Source organism: Homo sapiens, chromosome 4, assembly GCF_000001405.40.
Source record: "Homo sapiens chromosome 4, GRCh38.p14 Primary Assembly".
Lineage (NCBI taxonomy): Eukaryota > Metazoa > Chordata > Mammalia > Primates > Hominidae > Homo > Homo sapiens.
Window position 1 is genome coordinate 67,833,471 of NC_000004.12, and position 12,161 is coordinate 67,845,631.

The 12,161-nt window shown below is 36.6% G+C and overlaps 1 protein-coding gene across 2 annotated transcripts in view; it reads right to left on the reverse strand.

The window, feature by feature from the left end:
* TMPRSS11D (transmembrane serine protease 11D) overlaps positions 1-12,161 on the reverse strand; it is a 63,127-nt gene that overhangs the window by 12,595 nt on the left and 38,371 nt on the right. Inside the window, exons 4-6 of one of the 2 annotated variants that reach the window (NM_004262.3) lie at positions 9,088-9,155; positions 4,702-4,859; positions 1,613-1,651 (exon numbers count right to left, since the gene is read on the reverse strand). In NM_004262.3, coding sequence (NP_004253.1) covers positions 1,613-1,651; positions 4,702-4,859; positions 9,088-9,155 — 265 coding nt within the window. Of the gene's footprint in view, positions 1-1,612; positions 1,652-4,701; positions 4,860-9,087; positions 9,156-12,161 lie in introns of those variants that run through there. The other variant, XM_017008851.2, reaches the window with a different exon arrangement.

Sequence of the window (12,161 nt, forward strand, 5' to 3'; positions counted from 1 at the left end):
TTATGTCTTATACATTCTTCCTCAGGACATGCTGGATTTTCCAAAAAGCATGATCGATATATTTCTACAATGCATTTGTGACTACTGTTGCTTATAGATAGCATTTTGGAGAACATTTCTGAATTTAGTTGGCATATAGGCTTCAAATTTTGAGCAGCTTCAGAGTTCCCTGGAATTCCTCATGAGTTGAGGTTAAGATAGGTCATTATTGGATGTGCCAGCTCAGGCCACAGACTCCTGGGAAATTTCCTTTTTCTCAATAGTCTTGCTATGCTCAGTGTGGTTTGTGGGCCTGCAGCATGGGCATCCCCTGGAAACTTATTAGAAGTGCTGATTCTTGGAACCACATCATGGGACAAATCTAAAGCTACATTTTGATGTGAGGTTCATGCACACATTGAAGTTGGAGGAAAACTGGTCTCATCCAAAAGACTCCTTAGTGACTGCAGTTCACCTTGTAGAATCCAGTCCACCTCCAAGACTGATGCTGTATTACCAAACATGCCCTCATAAAGGAGTCGCTATACCACAGAATATTCTTGAGGGTGACAGAGGGTTTCTAGTATCTAAATAAGGTTTATTTAAATGTTTTCAAAGAGCTCGTGAATAGTCTACTGGCCAGAGCTGAAACGGGCTGGGGTAGGCTGATCACCCAATTCCTCTCAACTCGCATTCCCATAATTTTCTTCTTTTGTGTGGTCTATTACTAAGAAATTAATGGTAAATCACACAACTATTGCTGGGCTGGCTTTTAAGTAGTGCCCTGGTTTAATAGCACAACCACCTAAAGGCTTTTTTTTCCTAGCAAATTTCCTGGATAAAGGAGGACCAGGCTTCCATTAAGAGATACATGTGTTCCTTTGTGGCATCTCCCAAACAAATACCCTAGTAAATTGCTTATCACAGTTTCATTAACAATAAGCATGAATTAAATACGTAGTGAAGCTGAAAAACACCCATAGGACTACCATCACTTTGTAAAATCACTGAAGTACCTAAGATAGGCCAGCTACCAGGTACATTGAACTAATTTTTAACTGCATTTTTTTGGTCAGAGAAGTAAGTTGCTGTTTTCTAGGGATTGCATTTCTGCTATCCTAGCCTGAGAGTACATAGGATGATGTTGAAGAGTAGTGACTTTTCCTTCAGGTTATAGACCCAAAGCTGGGAAGACTTCTGACAATTCTTTTTTATTATACTTTGTGATTAACCTGAATTCACAACAAAGCAAGCTACTCTGGTGGTTAGGAGAAGCTACATAAACGGTGTCATCAAACATAATTTGTAAGTCTACAGAAATGCCACCTTAGAACCAGGGCAGTAAAAGGTTCTCAAAGCTGCCAAAGAAATTTTCATGAGGGCAATTTTGAGTGCAGAGTGGGTAGTCCTCCACTACAACTTCTTCCTTTTTCTAAAAGGAAAGGGGAAACCTAAAGTCCACTCCATGGGACACTTGGGATCAGCACTGTCTTGTTTCAACACCACCTGAGCGAACTAAGAACAAAGACATCAACTTGATAGATACTGCCTTGGCCAAAAGTACACAAAAGACTTGCACTTTTACTCTTTATGATTTGGCAAATTACAGTTACAAAATAATATTAAAACTTACCATTAATAAGCCAATTTGCTGCAGCCTGGTCAGTAAGTGCTAGTATTAAAAAATGAGAATAAGATAAATACAATAAAGGCTGATATCATTTCACCATAATTTCTTAAAGTACAGTACCCAGACAACAAGAAGCAGAATTACTTGTTGGGGTTGGGAGGTGGTCCTCTAAAATGCAGATTCCTAGGCTTCCTTTCAGACCTGCTGAAACGATCTCTAACTCATGGGCCCTACAAATCTCTTTGTTTACAACCTTTTCCCAATTTGTTGTTATGCATACTAAAGTTTGTACTTTAATTTCTCATTAAATACTTAATAGATATCTCTTTTTTCAAGTTACTCAATTTATATGGGAAAACAGAAACATAAGCAAGTCATTGAGATGCAATGTGATAAATACTATAGGGGAAGTTAATTTATCATGTCCTCAAATATATGTATATTACTCTAATGATACCACTCTATAATAAGTGCTGCAGATTTAACTGCGAGCAAAATATAGAGGACCTGCCCTCACATAATTTACAGGTAGAAATTAATCAAGCAATCATTCAAATAAATGTAAGTGCAAAGTAGAGAAAAGAAAAAAGAGAGTAATTAAATTATATGGAGGAGATAATATTTGAGCTAGAAGAAATAGCATCTGCACTGTATTTTGAAGATCTGAAAGGAATTTTTCAGGCACACAAGAGGACAAAAGAGATTCCAGATAGAAGGTACAGTGGGCACAAATGCTTGGAGGTGTAAGATGTTTGTGGAGCAATAAAGTAAGGAGAGCTAGTGCATGTGTTGTGTTTAGGGAAATGGAGGGTGAGCCTGGAAAGGAAAATATGTCAGTATCAGAGGGTAAAGGTCTGTCTATTTCAATTTAAGAACAGCATACAAGACAGTTTTCTCTGCATGTCCAACAGCCATCTCAAACTCAGTGGGACCCAACTTTATCCAAAATTTGCTACTTATTATATCCTTTTAGTAAAATGACACCACTTCCAAAATCTGAAATTTTCTCAAACTCCTCCTTTCACATCTTATAATCTCCAGGTTCTGCACATCTGTCCTCTATCTTTTGAATTATTCCATCCTCCTCACTCCTTTTGGTACTACTTTAGTTCATGGTTTCATCATTTGACATCAGTACAGTTACAATAATTTTCTAACTGAATTCCACCACTTTTGCTCCTTTTCAGTTTATGCACCTCTACCTTACCAGACTGATCTTTTTAAAAAAATGTTATGTTAGCTCATATCCTTCCTTGATTGAAATTTTTAATTGAGAAACCCATCATTTTTATTTCCTGCAAGTTAAATTAAAACTTTTCAAGACAGGTTTCCACGCTCTCTCAAACCGACTTATGCAAAGTTATTTCCCACTAAAAGTTTCACAAGGTTTGGGTATCACATTTGTTTTGCAAACTTCAGTGGAGCCAAATCATACTTCTGGAGACAGAAAATTTTAAAAAGCTGGCCATTCTTAATTTTTTGAACAAACAGACTTAGTTTGAATCCTGACTGCCTCATATACTGACTGTGTCAGCCTAGGCAATTTATCTTTTCTAAGGGGGACAATAAAACTATCTATGGGATATGTTTGTTGTAAGGATTAATCAAGAAAAAAATTCATATAGGGCATTAAAGCCATGCCTAAAAAACAGTAAGTTCTCATTAAATAAGTGTTTTGATGATGATGGTGTGAATGATGAACACTGATCAATCATTCCAGCAGGTCCCTTTCTTCATTATTCTGTCAAAGCATCGCGTTCAGTACAGACTGTTTGCCTTTTCATGCTTTCCTTCTCTGGGAACTTTCTTTTTCTCATCTCAAAATATGTAAATCCTACCCATATTTCAAAGTCAAAGTCCATTCTCCTTCATGAAACTTTTGCTAGATATCCCAAGCACGCTGGTCTCTTTCTTCCCCAGATTCCTGCAGTGATCATTGCCTGGGCCTCACACTGGGCCCTTGATCATATTCTATCTTGATTGTCAACACTCTTGTGTTGGAATATCTTTCCCTTCAACTAGATTATGGGCTCTGGAGGTGGAAACCGCTATTCTGTGACCATCGTATCACCATATTGTCTAGTATAATGATAAATAAATAAACACTTGGGAAGTGCGTTCGGGAGCATTCCTTAATGTGTGGAAGCAGAGGTAATATTCAACTACCTAACAAACTGCAGTGCGTGAGCATTGGCCAGTCATAAAAGATGCAATCAGGCCATGGAGTTGGAGCAGTGTCTTAGAGTGCTTTGCTTTGCTAAGCATAACTCTTTAGCAGCAGGGGCAGTGGATTTGAAACATCTCGGAAGACAACTTTGTGGGCCTGATGCAGTAATTGTTTACCAACAAATAGGAAAGCATTTCAATATTTAACAGTTAGTACATCTGTAACTGGTACCTACCAGTCTAGTATGGGAATCATCAAAATCCTTTTAATCTTGAGCTCATCGAGAAGAAATAATGGCTTATTAAACTAGCAGAATGTAACCAACTTGGAGGAATGTCCTTAAATTCTATGCATATATTATTTCTTTTCTTTCAGTCATGCAAGAATTATTTATTGAATATGTGTTATATGATGGAGACTGGGTGGTAGGAGGGTAGTAGGATGAAGAAGGTTGACTGGTTCTTTCTTTTAGGATGATTACAGTGTAGGATGAAGCCAAACAATACAAAATTTACACAGATAACTTTGTAATTTCAATTGTGATAAATGTTACAAAGAAAAATGAAGAAGCCTCTGAGGTGGATCATTAATTAAATAGTTCTCTGACCTTGAGCATCTATGTACCCCTCCTATGGCCTATCCACTAATGACATCTGACAGTAACATCACTCATAAGGAATGTTGCAGGGATAATTAATGAGAATTTTTAGCAAATAAAATTTACTATATAAATGCCAAATGATTCTTTAAGTCTTAGAATGATTTACGTTAGGGAGCTATATGGTATATTTAGCTTTTTAATGGATTGTTTTCACAGTTTAGTTTCAAAGAAAGAAAAGTCAGCCTCTCAATTAAAATATGAATTTGAATTGGTAAACTTGAGGGATATATTGAAATAAAATTGTTTATGAAAAATTATACTTACATGTTATCTCAGTTGAAGGGTTTATTTCCAGGTTTCCAGAGTTATTCAGCATTTGTCGTAAAACAGACTCAATTCTGCTTTTCATTGATGCTCCATTGTTATTTCTAGTGAATTGAAATTTCATGACAACATCCGCTCTCACACCACTACCATCTTGCCTGTAAATCATAAAGATATTTTAAAAAACAAATAATATGACAATTTTTCACCATCCTGTTTATATATTCTTCTTGATTAAACCCTTTTAAAGAATTCATTTGTGGAATTTAACTTTAGACAGATCTCTGTAACAGTGTTTGCATACGTAATACTATATCACGATGCTATCTCACTTATTTGATTTCAATGCACAGAACACTGTACTCACTGTAGGATAGCTGATTTTGAAGTTATAATGCCAGAGTTTTACTGTGTAACTTTGGATAAGTTATGTAAGTTTCTTAATCTTTCTATATCTAAGTTTCTTCACATGTAAAATGGGTTATGAAGATTAGATGAATCACTATATGCAAAACTTCAAAGAAGAGTCAATAGCACACAATAAGTGTACTATAAATTTTAGCTATTCTTAGACTTCACCAGTGTTATTAAAAATAATCTCCTAAACAAATTCATAAAGTGATAGGGTTGTAAATTTGTGTGAGTTAGAGACTCAACTTAATTTTTTGATACCTAGACCATTCATCTGCCTGCAAAAGCAAATTTTAACTTTTGTCGTATATTAAGATTTCATCACTCATTTTAATTAATAATAAAGATTCCCCACAATAAACCTTGGTGACTTGATTAAATATTTGGATTATCTAAAACCTCAGTAATTTCTATTTTCTTCCAGGAAAGTTACCTCATAAACCAGTTCCTCCACCTGACATTGGCTGTCTTCTTTTCTGAAAAAGTACATTAAAGATATTTGGCTTTGAGGCTCTCATATTCTCTCTTGGCTTCCTCCTCTCACCTCAATGACCAGCTCTAACTTAATATTCATTCCAGATATGAATTTAATATTTATTTTTAAAAATGTTAGATAAACAACTTCTTGTGCTAGGCACTATTCTAAGCTTCAGAAATTAGCTGGGACTAAGATTCACAGTTGCCATATGGGTCTTGCAGTTTAGATGTAGAAACAGGCACTGAACAAATAATTACAACTTCCATGTCTAGCAATATGGAAGCCTAAATAATTTTAGAAAACACTTTCTGCATAAAACAAATAGAAAGGATAGATAATATATAATAAATTCCATTTCAAATGCAAGACTGGGTTCATAGAAAAGTAAGGAAAATCCTGGAAGACCAAAAACAAAGAAGAATGTGAATAGTATGTGGTGAGACTAGAATATTCCACAGGCTTATGTTTAGCATTTACATAGAGACTGGAGATGGGACCTTGGGCCAGTGCAAAATAGGAAGTTGAACTTGAGGTTTTAGAAAAAGGCCAGGAGTCTCAAAGAACTAAACACCCAATAACAGCATGAACTAGAATGAAAAAAATGCTCGTCATGTCATAAAAAAATAAATTTATCTGTTTCCGAGATCCAGCTTTAAATTAAGAAAAAAGAAAAAGAAGTATCACCTGAAAATTCATAAGCATGGGCCTGGCTGCACGATGTCTGAATCTTCATTAATACTACCTGAATACTCCCAGAACCTTTTTTTTTTTAATTTTATTATTATTATACTTTAAGTTTTAGGGTATATGTGCACAACGTGCAGGTTTGTTACATATGTATACATGTGCCATGTTGGTGTGCTGCACCCATTAACTCGTCATTTAGCATTAGGTGTATCTCCTAATGCTATCCCTCCCCCCTCCCCCGACAACAAATTAACAACAACAAAGTCCATGTGCTGCTGATTCCTCTAGAATGTCTGACAGATGTAACTGCTCTGGAGGTAGATATGTTAAGTCTAGGTTGTACAGGGTCCCAAGTGAGATTAAATTTAAGCATACAATTTCAGTGGTAAACAATACATCATGAGGTGTGTATTAGTTTTTTCTCACGGAGCTATAAAGAACCGCCGGAGACTGGGTAATTTACAAAGAAAAGAGGTCCTGCATGGCTGCGGAGGCCTCAGGAAATTTACAATCATGGCAGAAGGGGAAGCAAACACATCTTTCTTACATGGTGGCAGGAAAAAGAACAGAGCAAAGGGGGGAAACGTCCCTATAATCTAATCACCTCCCACAAGGTCCCTCCCACAACATGTGGGTATTATGGGAACCAGAGTTCAAGATGAGATTTTAGTGGGGGCACAGCCAAACCATACCAAGGTGGAATCAAAGTAACAAAAAGATTATCCTCAAAAACTTCACATAATAGAATCAACAGACAAGTGACTGTATTTGAAATGACAAATGACGTAAAAGAGGGAATCATAAAAATGAGATTAAGTAGAAAACATTATTTTTAAAAGATCACCTAGTATCTGATAGCACAACAGAGTCACTATGGTCAATAATAATTTAATTGTACATTTAAAAATAACTAAAAGAATATAATTGGATTGTTTGTAACACAAAGGATAAATGCTTGAGGGGATGGATACCCCATTTTACACAATGTGATTATTATGCATTGTTTGCTTGTATCAAAACATCTCATGTACTCCAAAAATACATACAACTACTAGGTACCCCCAAAAATTAAAATAAGAAATGTGTTTAAAAGACCAGGAAGATTCTCAAAAGAAACAAATAGAACTTGCAGATAGGAAAACATACTCATTGAAATTGAAAACGCAATAAATGGGTTACACAGAATACAAGTCAAAGCTGAAGAGATATTAGTTATCTAAAAGAGATGAAGAAATTACACAGACTCTACATACATAGATAAAAGATAAAATAGAGGTTGAGAGACATGATAAAGTTCCATGTAAAGCAATGCTAAAAAAGAGCCCAGAAAAAAATAAAGAAGCAGTCATACTGGAAGAGATCATGAGAATTATCCATGTGATGGTACCAAGTAGATGGCTGCATATATTCATGTTTGGAGGCAAAAGAGGACTGGCCTAGAGATACAACTTTGAGAGCACTCAGCATATGGGTGGCAGTGAAGGCCAAGGAAAGGAGAGAGTGTGACCTGAGAAGATGAGAGGCCTAGAGCACAGCCTGATGTTCAGCAACATTTAAGGAATATACAAAGAAGTAAGACCTAGTAAAGGAAACTAAGAAGGAATAGCTAGGGAGGTAAGGGGAAAATCAGGGTATACAAGGCCATGCAAACCAAGGGATAGTCCTATTTCAAGGAGTGACAGGCCAACAGGACCAAATACTGTTGAAAGGTCCAAGAATAGGACTGATGTGGTTTCTTTGGATTTTGTTATCTGGATGTCATTGTTGAATCGGCAAGAGCAGTTGATATTTTATGGTGGTATTGAAGCCAGGTTGCAGAGGATTGAGTGATAAGTGGGAAGTGAACAAAAGGAGAGAAAAGGCAGAAGGCTCATGTAGTCCTACAGGTTTTCAGGGCTTACTCACTTTTGAACATTAGTGGCTGATACAGATACTGACAAGAAAGTACTAAGTGAATGTGCACTGAATTGACCGAAAGGTGTTTTGGAAAATACCCTTCTCATGGACTCTTCTTATCCCTTTAACTCCTCATCAAAACTTACCTGACCAGACATCTGTGCTCCAGATACTTACTAGGTGACTCTCCAGAGAACAAGAATTAATTTTCTTGTGATGCTAGTATTTGAGAAAGAATTAGTATAATTCCTCTTCTACCAAAGAACTATTGCATATTATTTAAAGACTAGAGCAATGTGGTCATTTGAGACATTTGCGGGAGAGTCAGTAAAGGTGACTATTTCAGTTGGAAAGGCTGGTTTTATCACATCATATTTAACTAAGGCAGGAATGGCAAATAACTAGCATGCATGCTGCTACTCCTCCTATTATTAATTCATGATAGACATGCCTTGGATTTGGCCATAATACCCTTTTATTATAGCACATCAGGCAGATAAAACCAAAAAGCCACTTTTGATGTTGGTCATAGTGTCTTGATCTTGGATGGATACACCCAAACCACAGCATTGTACAACTCCAGGAGGGACTGTTTACATAGGCTGCACTGTGAATGATATCCACTGGAGTTTTACAATAGGATGGCCTTGTTACTGTACCTTCACCCCAACTCTCTCTCCACCCCTTCTTCCTCTTCCCAATAAGAATAGATATAATATGGTTATTTACATTAGTAGCTAAATAGATCATATGTTTGGCTTTTTTGGCATTGGTTTTTAAGCTGACTAAAATACTATTTTCATAATATTACAACAACTTATCTGAACATGTCATTTACTATTCATTCTGTGACAAAAAGTCAAGTATGCCACATTGTATCTATACTTAAATATTTTTTCTACAGTTCCACTCACCTCAGTTTGGCAACATGAGCTCTGATGAACTGATTTCTTAAATTTGATTCTTTGAATGTTTTAGTAATCTGTAGAAAGAAAGAGAGGGGGAATCTCTCTGTAAATACAGTTCTTCTTCTCCTTCCTCTCAACCTTGCAACATGAGACATGTTAATGAGGAGTAGAAAACTGAATTTTCACTTTAGTTCAACCTAATTCCATTGCAAAACACATGGGATTGATTTGGGCAGGTTCTATAACCTTTTGATGCAGTACCTATTCCTTTATCTGTTATACAGAGATGATGCTGGACAGGCTGGTTTTTTGCTAGAAGTCATTCTAAACACATCAGATGTTTTACTCAATGAGAGATTATGTTATATGGCTTGGTGGCTTTTACTAAGGGCTTGGGGCAGGAATCATGCCAGCATGAGGGAAGTCCACTGACACAACTCAAAATGTGTGATCCCAACAATTGCTTTTAATGGATGAAACCTGATTAAACCAGACTAAAATGAGTAGCAATGGAAAACTTGAAGAGAAGGGGAGAAGGAAGCAAAGGGCAGTCTTTTTTTTTTTTTTTTTTTTGGTCATTTCTAATTCATACCTAAGCATCAGAGACTATTTTTTTAGCATTAGTTGGTAATTTCTTTTTTATTTTTTAGAAATTGAGTCTCACTATGTTGTCCAGGCTGGCCTCTAACTGTTGTGCTTAAGAATCCTGCAGCCTCACAGGAAAGGTAGTGGGGAAGAGGGGAAAAGAGGTGATGGTTAATGGGTAGAAAAATATAGTTAGATGAAATGAATAAGACCTCGTATTTAATAGCACAACAGGGTGCCTATTCCAAGAGTGGAGGTGGAATGTTCCTAACACAAAGAAAGATAAATGCTTGAGGTGATGGATATCCCAATTACCCTGATGTGATTATTAAACATTATGTGTCTGTATCAGAACATGACTTGTACTCCATGGGTATGTACACCTATTATGTACCCATAATAATTAAAAATAAAATAACATAAAAAAGGATACTCCAACCTCAGTCTCCTGAGTATCTGGGACTATAAGTGTGTACCACTGTGCCTGGCTCAGTTAATAATTTATGGCCGGGCGCAGTGGCTCACGCCTGTAATCCCAGCACTTTGGGAGGCTGAGGCAGGTGGACCTTGAGGTCAGGAGATCGAGACCATCCTGGCTAACACGGTGAAACTCCGTCTCTACTAAAAATACAAAAAATTAGCTAGGCGTGGTGGCAAGTGCCTGCTGTCCCAGTTATTTGGGAGGCTGAGGCAGGAGAATCACTTGAACCGGGGAGGTAGAGGTTGCAGTGAGCCGAGATCATGCCACTGTACTCCAGCCTGGGCTACAGAACGAGACTCTGTCTCAATAATAAAAATAACACTAATTATTAATTTCTTGACTGAATCATAACTATCTCCTTGAATCACTACTCAGTCCCAGCAAGGATGTTTCTCCTGAGGCATAACATTCAGATTCATAGTCAACTGGAAGTGCTGTGGCTGATACAGTTCTCCTGAGATGCAGGGTCAGATGTATTGTGGTTTCATTGAGAAGAATGGATTATGCTGGCTTATACTGTGAGGTGGCACCTAGGTGGATGTGGATATGAAAAGGTGAAGACAAGAAAATTAAGTAGCATGCTGGATATTACATTAAGCCAGGATTTGGAGCAGATTCTTCTCAAAAATGGTAAAATTTATGCAATCTCGATTATACCACAATATATCTTACTTTTTCAATATTCACTCCTATAGGATGATTGATGTCAGACCAACATGATTCTTAACCAAATGATAATTTTCTTTTTTTTTTCCAGAGAACCTTTGAACAATTTTAAGAACAATGAGACTGTTGGTTTTATCAAAGTACTTTATGTTTCTTTTTTAAAAATTCAAGAAATACTAGTAAGTATTAAGAAGAAAGCAAAAAGTCAGGCCAGGCACAGTGGCTCACACCTGTAATCCCAGCACTTTGGGAGGCTGAGGCAAGTGGATCACTTGAGGTCAGGAGTTCGAGACCAGTCTGGCCAACATGGTGAAACCCTGTCTCTCCTAAAAATACAAAAAAAAAATTAGCCAGGTGTGGTGGCAGGCACCTGTAATCCCAACTACTTAAGAGGCTGGGGCAGGAGAATCACTTGAACCTGCAGGGCAGAGGTCGCAGTGAGTCAAGATCGCGCCAGTACACTCCAGCCTGGACAACAGAGCAAGACTCTGTTTAAAAAAAAGGAAAAAAAAGAAGAAGGCAAAAAGTCATTCTAAATTCTATGATCTAGAATTAACCATTGCTGTAATTCGATAAAGTAACTTCTAGTAATCTACTTAGAAGCATGAGCTTTAATATGTTTATTAATATGGAATGTTAAAGGAGATATTTTAATAAAAATATTTAACTTTAATTTTACTTGACTTTAATCGAAGTAGAAAAAACTGTCACAAAGCTGAAGGAATTGTTAAAATTTGATAAGTGGTTCTTGTAATTATATTTTAATTCATGATTTGGCATTGCACTGGCACCGGCTAGACTGGACTAAAATGTTAAGTATCCACCTTAACATTTCTGTTATGTGGACAACATTAAGAGGCAATTTAGTAAGGACTAAGATAATAAGCAACATAAAGAAAGCAAGTTGATTAATTGGTTGATATGCAAATACAAGAATAAAAGAAGAGGCCTATGAATAAGATTTCATATTTCACAGAGTGGGTGAAAATGTTACTACCAACTCTCATTAGAACTTAACAAATGCTTGGTAAGAAAATCAGTAAGGAGATGCTTGAAGAGTATTCTAATGAGATAGTGATAAGGGCAGTAGATGGAAAATACAGAGACAGGTTAGTTTAGCTTGCATCACAAAGTTTAATGAACCATATAAACTTTCTTCCTCTCAGTTTCTCCATCTGTAAAAGGAAAGTAGTTAACGTGTATTAAAATGATTCATCTGTATGCAGTTGACTACTGCAAATCATAGAGACGATGTATCTACTTTTCATAAGTTTTACATTCAATCTTTTAGCCTTTTCCCTCCCTCTACAATTATTAACCTGTTCAAATGAGTTTACTTTAATACACA